The 18,952-nt window shown below is 42.8% G+C and overlaps 1 long non-coding RNA gene across 1 annotated transcript in view, besides 3 other annotated features; it reads left to right on the top strand.

Moving 5' to 3' along the window:
* LOC107986081 (uncharacterized) overlaps window positions 1-18,747 on the top strand; it is a 68,253-nt gene extending 49,506 nt beyond the window's left edge. Inside the window, exons 2-3 of the long non-coding RNA XR_001740673.1 lie at window positions 7,945-8,051; window positions 18,683-18,747. This is a non-coding gene — a long non-coding RNA (uncharacterized LOC107986081). The remainder of the gene's footprint in view (window positions 1-7,944; window positions 8,052-18,682) is intronic.
* Window positions 5,698-6,197: an enhancer, noted in NCBI's record as "H3K4me1 hESC enhancer chr3:43898043-43898542 (GRCh37/hg19 assembly coordinates)". NCBI's record gives its function as "activates a minimal SCP1, AML or CMV promoter by ChIP-STARR-seq in naive H9 embryonic stem cells {active_cell/tissue: H9 hESC(naive)}" and the evidence as "EXISTENCE:reporter gene assay evidence [ECO:0000049][PMID:30033119]".
* Window positions 6,198-6,699: an enhancer, noted in NCBI's record as "H3K4me1 hESC enhancer chr3:43897541-43898042 (GRCh37/hg19 assembly coordinates)". NCBI's record gives its function as "activates a minimal SCP1, AML or CMV promoter by ChIP-STARR-seq in naive H9 embryonic stem cells {active_cell/tissue: H9 hESC(naive)}" and the evidence as "EXISTENCE:reporter gene assay evidence [ECO:0000049][PMID:30033119]".
* Window positions 7,525-8,026: an enhancer, noted in NCBI's record as "NANOG hESC enhancer chr3:43896214-43896715 (GRCh37/hg19 assembly coordinates)". NCBI's record gives its function as "activates a minimal SCP1, AML or CMV promoter by ChIP-STARR-seq in primed H9 embryonic stem cells {active_cell/tissue: H9 hESC(primed)}" and the evidence as "EXISTENCE:reporter gene assay evidence [ECO:0000049][PMID:30033119]".
* Window positions 18,748-18,952: the final 205 nt, after the last annotated feature.

The raw sequence follows: 18,952 nt of genomic DNA, 5'->3' as shown, positions 1-18,952 counted from the left end.
CCTGTGACTGAACTATGAGCCCTCAGGACCCTTCACCGCTGCCAACATGCCCAGCACCCACCAGGTGCTGCATTGTGCTGGCTGGCTGCTGTGAATAATTTGCCGGCCTCCAGGTCTGCCCATCAGTTTGTCCCCACCCCTCTGTAGGCCTGCAGTCCTCCTCTTTGGCACCTGGACCTGTCTCCTTCGAGCCCACTAGGTCATATCTCCTGCCTGCTGCATCCTTGGGAGAGCCTTGGAAGAAAACAGAGCCTCATGGGGGTGGTGGAACTGGCCCCAAGCCACACAACCAGCAGGACAGAGAAGCAGAACTCTTGACCCCAAGACACCTTTATCCAAGATTGCCTAGGCTGATCTTGAACTCCTGGACTCAAGTGATCCTCCCTTCTCCTCGGCCTGCCAAAGTGCTGGGATTACAGGTGTGAGCTACCATGCCCAGCCTGCAGCCCTTTGTATTAAGCCCAGATTAAGCCCTGGGTCACTGCAGCTGAGGAAAAAGCGGTTGGCTCTACCAGAGCTCAGGAGAGGCCCAGTGTAATGGTGGGTCTTGTGGAGAGAAGTGGACCCTCTCGCTCCTTGTGCACCTGTTGCCAACAGCCCAGGCCCTCACAGACGTTGCCTGCTTCCTCTTCAGAGGAGGGAGGCACCTCATATTGTACCAGTCAGGCTGGACAGGGAGCAGAATTCACCCTGGATGGTTCAAATAAAGGATTTAATGAAGAGGATACTTCCAGAGGAGTGGGCAGGGTTAAGGGGACAGATGGGGATGTTGAAGCATCCAGAGACCAGCACCATCAGGAAACTGTTGCCACCCCTAGGACTGAAAGGACAAAGGGGAGGAAAGACGGTGATCTGAGCCTGATGAGAGGAGGGGCTGCAGTGGAGCAGAGCAGGCAGGAGGCAGGCAGGGGGAATGACCATCCTCACCGCTCTTCACTACCCCAGTCTCCTGCCCGCATCTCCCATGGGTCAAACCCAGCTAGAAGTCCAGCAAGAGAGCCTGGAGTCAGCCTCTAGGACAAAGAACAGGGCCATGAAGAGCAAGGAATGGGTCTGGGGGCAAGTTGAGAATGACCTACTCCAGAAAGAGATGATGCCTCCCTTTAATGAGCCAGCAGTTGGTGGCATCGAGGACCATGGAGATATGGGTTCCCTGGAAAAATGCAAGGCATGTTCATGGCCATCTGAGCTTCTCAGTTTATTCCCCTTCCTCTTACTGTGTTCCCAGAGGTTACTGAAGGGTGAGCCAGTGGGGCTGCCATCACTTCTTTGTCACAGGGCCCAGGAAGCAATGGAGACTGAGCCTGGTTGGCCAGCCATTGGGTCAAGGTGCAGACCTCTGCTAGAGGCTGCGTTGTTTTCAGAACACTAGGGAAGGGGGATGCTGAGGTCAGACTGAGATAGCCTGGTGACCTTTTCTTCTCCTCAGTCCACTGGACACCATGAAGCAATTCCACTGCAGCTCTTCCCGAACACTTCCATCTACTTGGTCCAGCCCATTAATGATGGCACAGTGAAAGAACTTATGGAGACACTCCCTGACTTTGTGGTATTTGGCTTAATTTCTGGGTAGGAATGGAAGACTTTAGAAGGGTTAACACCCTCGTGATTGGTGGAAGCTTGAGGTAGTTTCTAAAAGAGAGTCAGCTTGGAAACAAAGGGCATGTATCTGCCAGACAATTCTCCAGTGAACAGCAGGAAGCAAGACGGACCTACAAGTCGGGTGACTTGTTTCTTCTTACCCCCCTCCCCTTCCTCCAGGTCATTGGGAAAGGAAATGAAAGGCCACTAGCATGGTATTGAGGGGCATATGCTTTTGTCCCTCCCGATATTAATATCTGCCCTCCCCCATGATATCCTAATGAATGCCTCCACATCAGGAAGAATATTACAACCAATACACCATGACAGTTGAGAGTATCTAAAACTAGATGTGCAAATTCCATTGATTTTTATTTCCTATTTTGAAAAACTTTTGCAAAGGAAGAGAGAAAGCCCACAGTCTGCAAAGGGAGCAGAGGATGGTGGACACATAAGGATGGGGGACTTCTCAGGTCTCCAGCATTGCCGCAAGGAAACTGCACAGCCTCAGAGGGGAAGGACTGTGGGGTGCCATTATAGCCCCCAAGGTCCAGTCTATAAGGTCCTGAGGCCCCACCACCAGGTCAGTTTCCAGTGGCCTCAGCAGGCTTGTTTGCTAGGCATCACAGAGTGAGCTGATGATAGAAGGCTCCTCAAAGAATGCTGTGTTCTCACCAGACACCAGGACCATGGCATGCCTTCGGGGAGAAGGGAATAGAATTCTCCTTCAACTCCGTAAGAGCTCAGAGTCCAGTTTCATTTATTTCTTATAGAATAAATAATATGTTTCTTCCATATCTGTGGTGGCTAATTTAAAACCACCGTACACTGACTGTACCCTACATGCCCTAGGCCTTGTGCTCATGCAGGAAGACAGCAGCGAGTGATGGGTTCAGAACCCTGGCTATGGAATCTGACTGCCCGGGCTCCATTTCCCGAGATTCCACTTAGTAGCTGGGTGCCCTTGGTTCACTCATGCTAGGTAACCCAGCAGTTTTGAAACTGGAGAGCAGAAAACTCTTCCAAGGGGTACACTGGCATGGATAGTGTGGCAGACTATAAAAATGGCCCTAAGTTGGCACCACTCCCTGGAGTCTATGTTCCTACCCATTGAATCTGGACAGGCCTGTGACTTTCTTGGGCCAGTAGAATGTGGCAGAAGTGAACTAATGCCAGTTCTGAGCTGAGGGCCCAGCGAACCAGTGCACAGAAGAGTGGTTGGAGTACTTCCTCCCTTCTCCCTCCCTGCCCTGGGCTGCCGCCTGGACAGTGACTTCCTCTCCACCAAGCTGCAGCTCCCACTGGACCCTGATGATGCTGTTTCTTCTCTGGCCCATTAGCCCTGAGTGTGGTGTCTTATGCAGGGTTCTCCAGGAGAGACCGAGAGATGAGGATTTGTGTGAATATGCCTTATTAGCAAGTGTTCCCTGGAAAATCCAGGAGGCGCGTGGAAAAGCAGGTCAGGTGAGGGTGTGAGGGCATGGAGGGCTGGTGTGGAGGCCACACATTAGCATGTCCCCATCAGAGACAAGGGACTCTTTCATCAGTCCTCAATCAAATGTTGCTCAGGGGACACTTCTAGCTATTGGTATGCACTGGCAACACGGGGCTCCAAGGGCAGCCCCCTGGTAAAGAGACCAAGTGCTGGCTGCAGGGCAGAACTCACTGCAATCTCCACACTTAAGGACACCCCCACCTCCAGCTTTTGTTTCTGAGTTTTAGCATTCGCCAAGGTAGGCAGTAAGGAAGCATGGGTTTCATATCTCCAGAATAGTGCAGCCTTGCACAAAAAGCAGAAGAAATGGTTATCTTGGAGCAGTTACTCCTTTCTGCCCTGGAAATCTCTCAGGAAAGGAAATATAAAGTACTCTGTTACCTTCTTTAAGGGAGGAGGGAGGAAAAAATTAATACCTCTGAGTTATTCTGCCACAAATGTGTGTTGAATGGAACTGACCTATTCGAGCATGGGCCCTGGGTTCAAATTCTGACTCTTCCATGTTCTAGCTGTGTGATCTTGAGCTGGTTGTTTAACCTCTCTGGGGTCTCTAAAACAGAGAACAAAATGTCATTTGTAAAATGGGGATAACAGTAATAATAATAACCACTTCAGAGTGGTTGTATTAAGTGAGTTAATCTATGCAGAGAGCTTAAAATGATGTTCTGCATGGAATAAGCAATAAGCACTGTGCAGGTTTTAGCTGTGGCTATTATTAATCATTAAAACAGCTTTTACGATTTGAATTTGCATGTTGTAAAGTTTTCTTCTTCTTTAAAATTGCTTTGGATGAGCAGACAATACTTCCTACCTTAAGCAAATCAGAGTTTATACCCTTTGCCCCGACTTGGTGAGGGCAAGATGTTACACGGATGGAATCTGGGGTGGGTCTTTTAAGGTGACGTCTGCATAGGGCTGAGGGTTAGAAGGTGAGTCCAAGTACACAGCAAGACCCGTGCTTTCTTGCTGCTTACCTCTGTGAGACTGAAACTTAAAGACAGAGGTGGAGGAGGGGTGCTTTCTAATCGTGGGCGCCTAGGCGCGTGTGGCTGCCCCTCCCTTCTCAGCCTGTGGGTTGTGCCCACTAAGCACATTCGCTTTCCTCCTATTAAAGCGAAATGCTGCAGGGCTGAGGGGTTCTCTGCAGAGAAGCAGTGAATCAAGAGGTTAGCAGTGTTTATTGATTTAGTAATTCGCACGCACTTTTCCGGATAGATTATCTTCCCGGAGACTCTGACAGCAGCAGCCAGCCGATAATGCAATGCGGGGCTATAGGGCTTGGGGCTGCGGAGGCAGCAGGGGGGCGAGTGGGGGAGGAGAGGAGCAGAGAGGCCAGAGGAGGATGACTGAGCCTGGATAAGAAGAGGAAGGAGTATGGTCTGCATCCTCCAGGATACAACAATGAACATTTCTTCAAGGTGCCCCCAGAATCCCTGTAGAGATGAAGGCTTAGTCCCCAAGCTGTCCTGCTGGGAGTGCTGCCTGGAGCTGCCCTGAGACACTAGCCCTCCTGGAGACACCAAGGCCACACCGCTCCTCAGGAACAGTGGCATCCAATGACTAATCAACACCGGGACACACAAGTCCTGCAGACCCCCCAAGTTAGAACATTATGCAAGCCCACCCAGCTTCAGAAACCCCCCAGCCCCGGAAACCTCCTCCCTCTACCTAGCCCTGCTTCCTTCTCCTCCTCTCCACAGGTATGGATCACAAGAGCATGCCTGCCCTAGTAAAAGTTCTGTAGGCTCTGTCTGCTCCTCCTCTGTCTGCTCCTCCTGACTCATGGCCCCTGTCTGAGTGGAGCTTCAAAGCAAAGCCACCAGTACTGTACAGCTTTTTTTACTTTTGTTGCTACAGAGTGGTTTTTATACAAAGTGGTATTGTGAGATTAGGGAGATCTGTCCCAGTGGACTCTCTTCCTCTTCCACCTTATTTCTTCCTCTGGGCCTGCCTCACAGCCCCAGGACTTCTGTGGTTCAAGCTTCCTCCCATTAGGAAAGAAAGCTCTGGACCAGCTGCTTGGTCCAGGACCCGCTTGGATGTTACAGCTCCTGGTGAAGCTGGGCCAGAAGAGGACTGGCCAAGTGTGCAGTGTTGAACCAAAGGAAATATCTGCAGGGTGAGTTTCAGATACCAGGAGCAGGCAGCAGGAGGTGGGAGAGTTCATTGGCCCCAGATCATTTATATGTTCTAGCTTTTCCTTCCTCTACACCTTTGCTCATTATCCTACTCCAGTCACGAACTCATCCAAGGATAGACATGTCAGACAGTATGCTGGTATCAAGAACTCGAGGAAGACTCAGTGACAGATGGCCCTGCCCCAGACTACCTGCCTCTCCATCTTAGGGGAGATGCGTGTCTGTCTATCCATCCATCCATCCATCCATCCATTCATCCATCCATTCATCTATTCATCCATCCATTCATTACTATCCATCTATTCATTCATCCATTATTTACTTAATAATTACCTATCAAACACCTACTAGGTGCCATTAGTTTAGATAGATAAATGATAGATAGATAGATAGTCACTGCTGAGTTTTTTATCTTTCTTTCCCACTGACACCCCACTGAGGGTAGGAAAAGTGTCTATCCCTCTGGGAACTGTTCCTCTGGCCCAGTGAGTGGTACTGGCAGTCACTACTATCAATGTGGTGCGAGGAGAGATGGTTGTGGGGAGAGGGTTATCCTAGAAGTCCCATGGACGCAGCAGCATCTAAACTTGACCTTGAAGGAAGCATGGGCTTGGGGTTGGTCACAGGGGATCGCCTGGACTATCTGTCCTGCCAAACCCTAGGATAGGAGGCAGGCAGGAGAGTGTCTGTGTTGAGGGTTGTGGGGGAGACGAGTCCAGCCAGGACGCCCTTAGAGAAAGCATCCCTTCCTCTCTCCATTTACCATCTGGAGTGATGGGCACACTCATTCAGTTGCCCCCTCACTTGCTCAGACACAGGCTGCAGTGTGAAGGGCTTCCTGGCTACTAAGCCTCTTTAGCCAAGTATCCCCTGCCCTCTGAGCTCAGAGCTCCCAAATTCGTGCTGTGCTTTCAAGAGCCTGATTCACCATCCCTGCAGGTGCTTCTGGCAGTCCCTGGAAGGCGTCTCAGTTGTGGCTCACACACAGCCCAGCTGGCCATCGAAACCCGTAGGTCTACAGTACGGTCCTCTTCTCGCACTCAGTCCTGCATCCTCTGTGCCCCCAGGTTCTGCCAGCCGCCATCACTTCCTGCTGTCTTCCATCCCTGCCTCTGCTCCAAGCTCTTATTTCTCAATCAGTTAGGAACCTGGCAGGAGTCAGAAACTTCTAGTTATTTGAGGAGAGACAATTTAATGCAAAGAATTGTTAGCTGTGGAATTGAAAAGATTTAAAAGAGTACTTGAAGTTAGAACAAAGGCAGCAGCTGTAGGCAGCAGCCACCATCTCTGGGGCTGGAGACAACAAAGGAAGAGGTTAGGATTGTTAAAAGATTTGGAAGTTTTGAGGAGGGACCTGGAAGATAACTGGGGGTGAGGCTGGAGAGGCAGTCAGCTGGTGTTCACATTTCCCAGCTCATGAGACCCAGAGCTCTGAGGAGGGGATGCTGGGCAGCTTGTACGATGTCTCTGGCCAGGGAGTGGTTGATACATCTCATTCTGCAAAATGGAAAGTGGAAAAACTGCAATGTGGATTCACCAGCTGCTTTTGGAAGGAGCTGCTGCTGCCAGGGAGAAGAAGCCTTGCTGGGTGCTGCTCACAGAAGCAAAAAGCAGGCAGGGTGGAGCCGGTCCCTGCTTCCTCCTCCAGCTTCCATTTTCTCTAGCACCCCCTAATGGCAGAGCCTGTCAGGGAGCCACTGGCAAAGGAGAGCCCTGGTTTGCAGAGTCCTGCCCAGCATGGCAGAACCCAGAGAAGAAGGGCTGAGTTACAGCCCAGAGATATAGCTTAATACCAGCACTCCAGATGCTGAGGTGGCACCCCAGAGCCCCAGGGCGACAAAGCCAGAGAGACCTATGATAGTAGGGAGGATGATCTCTCTTATTTTACCCAAAGAGCTGCTGTGGAGCTCTTTCATCTTTCAGTGCTACAAGTAGGACACAGAAATGGGTCCTTGAGGGTGGGTTTGAGGACAGATGCAGATGAGTGACACCAGGAGGAATGCAGAAATCTGTCCTCCCTTCTAGGGATGGAAGTTGTGTAACAGGGACAAGCTTGTAACAAAACTGAAACACCCTCTAGAGAGAAATCATCCTTAGAGGTAAATCGACTTCTAGAGGCACATTTGACCAATTTGCCTAGCTTTTTGGAACCCCAGCAGTGGACAGAGCTGAGAGTCAAGGTGGGCCCATACAGCCACAATGGTGCTGTGAGGCAGGCAGTCAAGGGCTGTCCTTCCATTTCTAGAGCTAAGGAAACTGAGGTCCAATGGAATCAGCTTGTCAGATAAGAGGGTGGTGTTAGCTAAAGTCCTGAGCTGTTAGCGTGTTGGTTACTTGATTAGCTGATCCTGGCAAAGGAAGATGAAGATCCTGCTGGGCTCCCCATCAATTAATGGGGCTAGGAGCTCAGGCCAGCCTACACGCATCAGACTCCATGGTAGTGCTGGCTCTCCATCAGCACAGCCCCAGGTCGGGAACCTGAGGGCATGGACAGGCGCATCCCGTAATGGGCTGCTAATTGCTCTGATTGCAACTCCAGGGCAGTGTTTCTGGAACGGCAGAACTCTGACAGAGGAGGAAATACCAGCAGAACATTTTTGATGAATAATTCAGTGAGCTGAAATGGGAAATGAGAAAGTTTTCTTTCCACTAAAGTTGAATTTGAAAAAAAGAAAAAGAAAAGAGAAAATAATAATAGCAGCAAAGCTGAGCATTCTGGTCTCCTCACAGGAAAACTTCTTTGCATAACCATGAAGGACTGCTCTCTATGATCCACTCACCCCATCCACAGGACAGAAGCAGCGGGAGGAGCATACTCAGGTCACCTGGAACCGATGGTAAATTTGATTTCATCCCTTCCACCTTCCCTTTCAAGCATTTATTCTATAAATATTAATTGGGCAACAACCCAAAGCCAAGCACTGTGCTGGGTGTTAGAGATTCTGTAGTGAAGAAAATAGATATTGTTCTTGTTCTCATGGAATGTGTGTGTGGGCAGGGGCGGGTATTCAGACATTAGATTGAAAGTAACACTAGCCAATGATCTACAATTTGATACTGTATCAGTCAGGATTCAACCAGAAAGGGAGAAACTGAATATGTAGAGCAGAGGGAATTGAATGCAGGGAATGTGTTACTTATCTGGGTAATGAAAGTGCCAAGAAAGTCTGGGATAGTGGAGGAACCCAGAGGTTCACGGCAGGAAGTCCTTCAACAAAGGGACAAAGAGAAGAGGTGATGTTATCAGAGTGCAGGTCCCGGTACCATCTGAGGAGAACCGGAACCAAGACAGGAGCTGCCCAAGGGAGACTGAGACCATAGAAAAGGGGGTGCCTGGTGTGAGTGGAAGACACAAGGGGATCTTCAGCCTTTGGGCAGGTAAAATCAAAACTACAAGAGAAGGAAGAAAAACTTCACCTTCTCTCTTCCTCCTGCCTTTTTTATGTCCATCAGTACTTCCCAAAGGTTTAGCCACTGCAGAAGTCAGAAAGCAAGGTAGTCTGGGAAAGCAAGTCTGATCACAGGGGTCACTCCCCAGAGATATAGAGCTGGCCAGGGAAAGGGTGAGGCCATAGATCTGAGGGCAAACAGGCCAGGAAGAACCAGCATTCATTATCTGAAGGAAAAGAATAGTCCTTGGGGGGAGAATGAAAGGAACAGTATTATTAAATTGGGTGATCCTGGGAGGCCTCTTTGAGGCAGTTAAGCTGAAACATAAAAAATTACAAAGAGCTATCCAAGTAAGAAAGGGAGGGGAAGATGGGAGAGGAAGAGCTTCCCAAACATGTGCAAAAGCCCTGAGGCAAGTGAGGGGTGAAAGGGAGAGTGAGGAGAATTGAGGGTGGAGATATGGTTAGGCCCAGGTGACATTAAGGAGTTGTTTAGAGTTTCAGAGAAAGAAAAATTTACACCTGATTGCCTTCAATAGAAAAGAGTTTTTGAAAAGGTTTTCTTTTGTCTTTTAGAGACAGGGTCTCACTCTGTCCCCCAGACTGGGGTGCAGTGGCACGATCATAGCTCACTGCATCCTCAAACTCCTGGACTCAAGCAGTTCTCCACCTCACCCTCCTGAGTATCTGGGACCGCAGGCATGTACCGCCACACCCAGCTAGGTTTTGAAAAGTTTTTTTAAAAATTCACATAGTGTCTGTTTACTCTTACAAAGCAAAAAGGAAAAACCTTCCAAATGTTCCAAGAATATGTAAGCAAATTTCCTTTTGAATGGTGTGATGCTGTATTTACAGTAGTTCCCTCAGAACAGACAAAGATATTCCCTCACAGAATCTGTGAAGAAATACTTAATACAGTAGATTGATTCTTCTGGAGCAGTTTTTGTTTTTGTTTTCCAGATCCGCTAAGTGACCATCTATGGAAATGAGTAACAATTCTTGACTCCATTTCGCGTCTGCCAGTGACATGGCTGGCTTCTATTCCCTACCCTCACCTCCTATGAGACCCCATCAGGCTGATTTAAATGGCTGTGAAAGTGTGACTTGTTTTAAGTGCATCTAAAACCACACTTGTATGCACAGTTAATCTTATTTTATGCTACTTGTGAATACATTTTAATCTCTCTTACATTTTAATCAGATGAAATTTTTAGGAAGAGATTGTTCCATAAAATGCAAACTTCCATGGTGCTTAGTACAATGTCGTGAAAACACAAATGCATGAATATTTTATGAGTAATAATTCAGCAAAGAAATGTTTAATATTTTATTCAAAAATATTTGAACTGTATAAGTAGAATTATGCTAAGTGATATGGATATTAAAAGATTATTAGGTGATTTTATTTCTAGCCATGATGGAGTAACTGGGACTAGACTTATCTTCTCACTGTTAACTAAAAAAACAAACCAAATATATAAGGCAAGAGTTTTCAGACACTGGGCAACACCGAAAAAGATAGAACAAAATGAGCTTGTTACCACCCTGACTTTCTGTCTGGAGGCACTTTCTGCGGGAAAGGTGATCTCAAGTAGAGCATAGCTCTTTCGGAGTTGAAGAAATGAAATTGCAGTTCAGAAATGCTGAAGGGGCTAGAATTTGCAAGGCAGAGTACTGGAGAGGAAGAAGCTGCTTAAAGAAATAGCTCCAGAAAATTGCACAAGATCCCCTGAATCTGTTACTGAACACTAAATCATATAAGCATAGAGTGAAGATCCACAGAGCTGAGAAAAGAGCAACCAGGGAGCTGTAAGCTGAACAGTTTGCAGAGCTCACATGTGGCTGACAGACGACCAAATTCTGACTAGCTAGAGTAAAAGAGCTCTCAGACTCTCAGGCCTTCAGTGGAGACCTCAGGTGAATCACATCTTAGCAATGGGCTAAACAAACTTAGAATTCAAGCTATTCATGACCCACCCTAAGAAAGTTTAAAAGATTAAAAACAAACCTCAGAAGGATCAAGCTGATCTGCCAATAACTGCATGCCATAAAAAGTTCAACACCCCTTAAAGGTACACAAGAAAATCCAGCGCTCAATGAAAAATTCACAATATACATCATCCAGTCAAAACTTATTAGATATATGAAGAAACATAGCAATGTAGCCCAAAACCAGGAGAAAATTCAGACAGTGGAAACAGGCATGAGGAGATAGAGATTGCGGGATTAGCAGACAAGATCTTTAATAGGATTTTCAAGGATTCAAAAGAAGGCAGAAACACAATAAGGATTGAAATGAAAGATACAAAAAAACAAATAAAACTTCTAGAGATAAACAATAAAATATCTGAAATAAAAAATTCACTGGAAGAGATTAGTGGCAGATTAGACTGAAGAAAAAATGTTTACTGACCTTGAAGACGCAGTGATATAAAATATTCAAAATGAAGCACAGGAGGAGAAAGAGCCAAAATAAACAAATAAAGAATAAAATTGCAACTTATGGGACAATATCAAGCAATCTGACATATGTATACAGTAATCCCAGAAGGAGATTGCATAGACAGAAGAAAATTGAAGATACAGCCAAAATTTTCCATATTTAATGAAAATTGTAAACCCATAGGTCCAAGAAATTGAATGAATGCCAAGCAGGATAAACACAAATAAAACCACACCAAGACACATTACAATCAAGTTTTTAAAAACCCATGATTGAAAGAAAATCTTAAAACAACCAGAGTAGAAAAATACATTATGTCAAGAGGAACAAAGCTATGAACTTCACAGACTTCTATTTCGAAGCTATGCAAACCAAAAGAAAACAGAGTAATATGGTTAAAATACTGAAAAGGAAAAAAACTCCATCAACCTTGACTTCTATACCCCATGCCCCAATCTTTCAAAAATGAAAGCAAAATTAAGCATTTTTCCTTAGAGAACAAAGAAGTTAATTTGTCACCAGCAAACTTGCATTACAAAAGTATGTTGGGGTAGCTCTTAAGGCAGAAATAAATGATATGAGAAGGAAACTCATATCATCCCTCTACCCAAAGGAATAAAGAATGTTAGAAATAGTAAATACATGGATAAATATGAGTAGTTTTTTTTCTCATTTTTGTTGACTGTATAGAGTAAAACACTAATAATATATTGTGTGGTTTATAGCAAAGGTGTAAACAAGATGTGTGACAATAATATCACAAAAGATATATGGGGAAAATGGAGGTATGCTGTGGTAAGGTTCTTCCATACTATGCACAGAGTGATTTAATAGGATTTCAATATACACTGGAATAAGTTAAAAGTATATTTTGTGAACTCAAAGTTTTTAAAAACACAAAAACCAATAGGTATAACTAATAAGCCAATAGTGACAGTATAATAGAACATTAAAAAAATACTCAGTCCATAAGAAGTCAGAAAAAGAGAAAAAAATAGAAGGAAGAACAGATGGGACAAATAGAAAACCAACAGCAGGATGGTAGCTTAAATCTAACTATATGGATAATTACATTGAATGTAAATTGGCTAAGCGCTCCAGTTAAAAGGTAGAAATTGTTAGACCAGAATTTAAAAAGCAAAGCTTATCTATGTGCTATCTATAAGAATTTAAAAACACATACACCAATGGGTTAAAAGTTAAAGGATGGAAATGTGATATCATACAAACCCTAATAATGATAAGAAAGCTAGATAACCATGTTAATATCAGACAGAGTAGGATTCAATACTAGCAATTAAAGTAATACCAGAGATAAACTGGGAAAATTTGAAATTATAAAAGGTTCAAATCAAGAAATCATGATGAATCATCAAGAAATCATGAAAATCCTACATATATATCCATCTAATAACAGAGTTTCAAAATATGTAAATCAAGAAAAGACAGAAATGAGAAGAGAAATAGACAAATTCACAATTATGTTGGGAGACTTTGCTTCAGAGTCCCACAATTATGTTGGGAAACACTCTTTTCTCAGAATCCATGAGGCCAGGGAAGACTTGAAACATATTACCAAACAACATGACTTAATTTACATTGGTAGATCCTGCCATCCTACAACAGTAGAATATGCCTTTCAACTGCACATAGAACATTCTCCAAGATAAGCCATGTTTTGGACTATTAAAATTCTCAATGAATATGAAAGGATTTACTTAATACAGATAATTTTTTCTGACCAGTTTGAATTAAACTGAAAATTAACAACAGAAAGATATCTGGGAAATCCCCAAGTATGTGGAAATTAAACAACACAATTCTAAATTGCCCACTGGTCAAAGAAAAAAAAATGACAAGATAAATTAGAAATGAAAATTTCACTAGAAAGGCTCAATAACAGATTTGAGATAGCAGAAGAAAGGACCAGTGAACTTGAAGCAAGATCAGCAGTCACACAGGAAGAGATTGTCTTTCTTCTCCATCTAAATGTCATAACGGAATGATGGCTAGGATGACTGCAGCCATCTTTCTTTTTTTTTCCTTTATTTCTTCTAAAAAAAATACGGATACAGGTGTAGAACGTGCAGGTTTCTTACATAAGTATACATGTGCCATGGTGGTTTCCTGCGCCTATAAACCCAACCTCTAAGTCCCTCTCCTTACACCCAACCCCACAAAAGGCCCTTGTGTATGTTGTTCCCTTCACTGTGTCCATGTGTTCACAATGTTCAACTCCCACTTATGAGTGAGAACATATGGTGTTTGGTTTTTTGTTTCTGTGTTAGTTTGCTGAGGATGATGGCTTCCAGCTTCATCCATGTCCCTGCAAAGGACATGATCTCATTCCTTTTTATGGCTACATAGTATTCCATGGTGTATATGTACCACATTTTCTTTATCCAGTCTATCATTGATGGGCATTGGGTTGGTTCCATGTCTTTACTATTGTAAATAGTGCTGCAATAAATGTGCATGTGTCTTTATAGCAGAATGATTTATATCCTTTTGGGTATATACTCAGTAACGGGATTGCTGGGTCAAATGGTATTTCTCGTTCTGGATCCTTGAGGAATCGCCATACTGTCTTCCACAAAACTAATTTACATTTCCACCAACAGTGTAAAAGCGTTTCTATTTCTTCACAACCTCATCAGTATCTATTGTTTCCTGACTTTTTAATAATCACCATTCTGACTGGTGTGAGATGGTATCGCATTGTGGTTTTGATTTGCATTTCTCTGATGATCGATGATGTTGAGCTTCTTTTCATGTTTGTTGGCCATGTAAATGTCTTCTTTTGAGAAGTGTCTGTTCATATTCTTTGCCCACTTTTTGATGGAGTTGTTAGGTTTTTTCTTGTAAATATGTTTAAGTTCCTTATAAATTCTGGGTATTAGACCTTTGTCAGATGGGCAGATTGCAAAATTTTTCTCCCATTCTGTAAGTTGCCTCTTCACTCTGATGAGTTTCTTTTGCTGTGCAGAAGCGTTTTAGTTTAATTAGATCCCATTTGTCAATTTTGGCTTTTGTTGCAGTTGCTTTTGGCATTTTTGTCATGAAGTCTTTGCCCATGTCTATGTCCTGAATGGTATTGCCTAGATTTTCTTCTAGAGGTTTATGGTTTTGGGTTTTACATGTAAGTCTTTAATCTATCTTGAGTTAATTTTTGTATAAGATGTAAAGAAGAGGTCTAGTTTCAGTTTTTTTGCATATGGCTAGCCAGTTTTCTCAACACAATTTACTGAATAGGAGAGCCTTTCCCCATTGCTTGTTTTTGTTGGGTTTGTCAAAGATCAGATGGCTGTAGATGTGTGGTGTTATTTCTGAGGCCTCTGTTCTGCTCCATTGGTCTATATGACTGTTTTGGTACCAGTACCATGCTGTTTTGATTACTGTAGCCTTGTAGTATAGTTTCAAGTCAGGTAGTGTGATGCCACCAGCTTTGTTCTTTTTGCTTAGGATTGTGCTAGCTATACAAGGTCTTCTTTGATTCCATATGAAATTTAAAACAGTATTTTCTAATTCTGTGAAGAATGTTAATTGGAGTTTGATGGGAATAACATTGAATCTATAAATTACTTTGGGCAGTATGGCCATTTTCATGATATTAATCCTTCCTATCCATGAGGATGGAATGTTTTTCCATTTGGTTGTGTCCTCTCTTATTTCCTTGAGCAGTGGTTTGTAGTTCTCCTTGAAGAGGTCCTTCACATCCCTTGTTAGCAGGATTCCTAGGTATTTTATTCTCTTTAAAGCGATTGTGAATGGGAATTCATTCATGATTTGGCTCTCTGCTTGCCTATTGTTGGTGTAAAGGAATGCTTGTGATTTTTGCCTGTTGATTTTGTATCCTGAGACTTTGCTGAAGTTACTTATCAGTTCAAGAAGTTTTGGGGCTGACATGATGGGGTTTTCTAAATATAAAATCATGTCATCTGCAAACAGAGACAACTTGACTTCCTCGCTTCCTATTTGAATACTCTTTATTTCTTTCTCTTACCTGATTGCCCTGGCCAGAACTTCCAATACTGCATTGAATAGGGGTGGTGAGAGAGGGCATCCTTGTCTTATACTGGTTTTCAAAGGGAATTCTTCTAGCTTTTGCCCATTCAATATGATATTGGCTGTGGGTTTGTCATAAATAGCTCTTATTATTTTGAGATATGTTCCATCAATACCTAGTTTATTGAGAGTTTTTAACACGAGCGGATGTTGAATTTTATCAAAGGCCCTCTCTGCATCTATTGAGATAATCGTGTGGTTTTTGTCTTTGATTCTGTTTATGTGATGGGTCATATTTATTGATTTGCATATGTTGAACCAGCCTTGCATCTCAGGGATGAAGCCAGCTTAATTGTGATGGACAAGTTTTTTGATGTGCTGCTGGATTCAGTTTGCCAGTGTTTTATTAAGGATTTTCACATCAATGTTCATCAGGGATATTGGCCTGAAGTTTTCTTTTCTTCTTGTATTTCTTCCTGGTTTTAGTATCAGGATGATGCTGGCTTCATAAAATGAGTTCAGGAGGAGTCCCTCCTTTTCAATTGTTTGGAATAGTTTCAGAAGGAATGGTACCAGCTCCTCTTTGTATTTCTGGTAGAATTCAGCTGTGAATCTCTCTGGTCCTGGGCTTTTTTTGTTTGGTAGGCTACTAATTACTGTCTCAATTTTACAGCTTGTTATTGATCTATTCAGGGATTCAACTTCTTCCTGGTTTAGTCTTGGTAGGGTGTATGCGTCCAGGAATTTATCCATTTCTTCTAAATTTTCTAGTGTATTTGCATAGAAATGCTTATAGTATTCTCTGATGGTAGTTTGTATTTCTGTGAGGTCCATGCTGATATCCCTTTTTTATTGTGTCTGGTTGATTTGATTCTTCTCTCTTTTCTTCATTAGTCTAGCTAGCAGTGTATCTATTTTGTTAATTTTTTCAAAAAAGCAGCTCCTAGATTCATTGATTTTTTGGAAGGTTTTTCATGTCTCTATCTCCTTCAATTCTTCTTTGATCTTAGTTATTGTCTTCTGCTAGCTTTTGGACTAGTTTGCTCTTGCCTCTCTAGCTCTTTTAATTGTGATGTTAGGGTGTCAATATGAGATCTTTCTAGCTTTCTGATGTGAGAAATTAGTGCTATAAATTTCCCTCTTAACACTGCCTTAGCTGTGTCCTGGAGATTCTGGGACATTCTCTTTGTTCTTATTGGTTTCAAAGAACTTCTTGATTTCCATCTTAATTTTATTATTTACCCAGTAGTCATTCAGGAGCAGGTTGTTCAATTTCCATGAAATTGTGTGGTTTTGAGTGAGTTTCTTAATCCTGAGTTTTTATTTGATTGCACTGTTGTCTGAGAGACTGTTTGTTATGGTTTCAGTTCTTTTGCATTTGCTGAGGAGTGTTTTACTTCCAATTATGTGGTTGACTTTAGAATAAGTGCTATGTGGCACTGAGAAGAATGTATATTCTGTTGATTTGGGGTAGACAGTTCTGTATATGTCTACTAAGTATGCTTGATCCAGAGCTGAGTTCAAGTCCTGAATATCCTTGTTAATTTTCTGTCTTGTCGATCTGTCTAATACTGATAGTGGGGTGTTAAAGTCTCCCTCTATTATTGTGTGGGAGTCTAAGTCTCTTTGTAGGTCTCTAAGAACTTGTTTTATGAATTTGGGTGCTCCTGTATTGGGTGCATATATGTTTAGAATAGTTAGCTCTTCTTTTGAATTCTTCCCTTTACCATTATGTAATACCCTTCTTTCCCTTTTTTGGTCTTTGTTGGTTTAAAGTCTGTTTTGTCAGAGACTAGGATTGCAGCCTCTGCTTTTTTTTTTCGCTTTCCAGATAAGATGGGTCTCCTGAATACAGCACACAGATGGGTCTTGTCTGCTTATCCAATTTGCCAGTCTGTGTCTTTTAATTTAGGAATTTAGCCCATTTACATTTAAGGTTAGTATTGTTATGTGTGAACTTGATCCTGTCATCATGCTGATGGTACTGGTACAAAAACAGACACATATACCAATGGACAGAATAGAGAACCCAGAAATAAAGCCACACACCTACAGCTATCTGATCTTTGACAAAGCTGACAAAAATAAGCAATGGAGAAAAGACTCTCTATTCAATTAATGGTGCTGGGATAACTCACTGGCCATATGCAGAAGAATGAAACTGGAGCCCTACCATTCACCATATATAAAATTTAACTCAATTGATGTGAAACCAGCTGAACTATAAAAAATAAAAGAATCGAAAATAACAAAATTTAACTCAAAATGGATTAAAGATTTAAGTGTAAAACCTCAAACTATAAAAATCCTAGAAGAAAACCTAAAAAGCACCATTCTGAACATTGGCCTTGGGAAAGAATTTATGACTAAGTCCTCAAATGCAATTGCAACAAAAACAATAATTGACAGATGGGACCTAATTAAACTAAATAGCTTCTGCATAGCAGAATAAACTATCAACAGAGTAAACAGACAACCTACAGAAAGGGAGAAAACATTCACAAGCTATGCATCTGACAAAGGTCTAATATTCAGAATCTATAAGGAACTTAAACAATTCAACAAGCAAATAACAAATAACTCCATTAAAAAGTGGGCAAAGGACATGAACTTATCGAAAGAAGACAGAAGTGGCCAACAAACATATGAAAAAATGCCAACATCACTGATCATCAGAGAAATGCAAATCAAAACCATGATGAGACATTACCCCACACCAGTCAGAATGGCTATTATTTGAAAGTCAAAAAACAGCAGATGTTGGTGAGGCTGTGGAGAAATGAGAATGCTTATATACTGTTGGTAGAAATGTAAATCAGTTCAGCCACGGTAGAAAGCAGTTTGGAGATGTTTCAAAGAACTCAGAACTACCATTTGAATCAGCAATCCCATTACAGAGTATATCTCCAAAAGAAAATAAATCGTTCTACCAAAAAGGCACATGCACTTATACATTCATCACAGCACTATTCACAATGGCAAAGACATGGAATCAACTAAGTGCCCATCAAGGGTGGATTAGATAAAGAAAATATGGTGCATATACAACATAGAACGCTATGTAGCCACAAAAAATAATGAAATCATGTCCTTTGCAGCAGCATGGATGCGGCTGGAGGCCATTATCCTAAGTGAATTAATGCAGGAATGAAAAACCAAATACCACATGTTTTCATTTATAAGGGAGCTAAACATTGGGTACTCATGGACATAAAGAGGGCAACAATAGACACTGGGGAATACTAGACGGGGGAGGGAAAATGGGGCCAAGGATTCAAAAACTAACTATTGGGTACTATGCTCACCTCCTTGGTGACAGGTTCAATTGTACCCCAAACTTTAGTATCATACCATATACCCATATAACAAACCTGCACATATACCCCCAGAATCTAAAATAAAAGTTGAAATTATATTTTTTAAAAAAGAATATCATACTAGAGAAATAAAATATGCCTGGGTCCCTGGTAGCTGTGGAGTCACCATACCAGCTCTTATCTGCAGGTCTCCGGACTTGCTGTATGTGACAAAAATAAATAAATCGCTACCTTGTTTAAGGCACTGTTCCTTGGGGTTTCTGTTATATTGAGTCAAATCTAATATTTATTGATAACCTTTGTTCTCTTCACAGGTGTATCTCCAGGGTCTTACAACAGCAACTGGCTCATCACGGGTATTCAGGTAATAGTTGCTGAGTAAAAGTATGGGGCCCAAGCTCCCCTGCTAACTGATGAGGGCACTGGACCCAGGGAAAGGAAAAAAAAATTGCCCCTTGCCATATAGCTCATAAGGGGCAGAGGCAGAATCATGTTCATTGCCTGCATTACCCCGCATCCCTGGGGGTGTGGCAGAAGGAAGCCACCTGCTCATCACCTCCACCCCAGTTCAGCTGGCTTTACCC

Source organism: Homo sapiens, chromosome 3 (genome assembly GCF_000001405.40).
Source record: "Homo sapiens chromosome 3, GRCh38.p14 Primary Assembly".
NCBI classification, from domain to species: domain Eukaryota; kingdom Metazoa; phylum Chordata; class Mammalia; order Primates; family Hominidae; genus Homo; species Homo sapiens.
The sequence above is the reverse complement of the archived record's forward strand: the minus strand, read 5'-3'. Positions and strand labels throughout refer to the sequence as shown.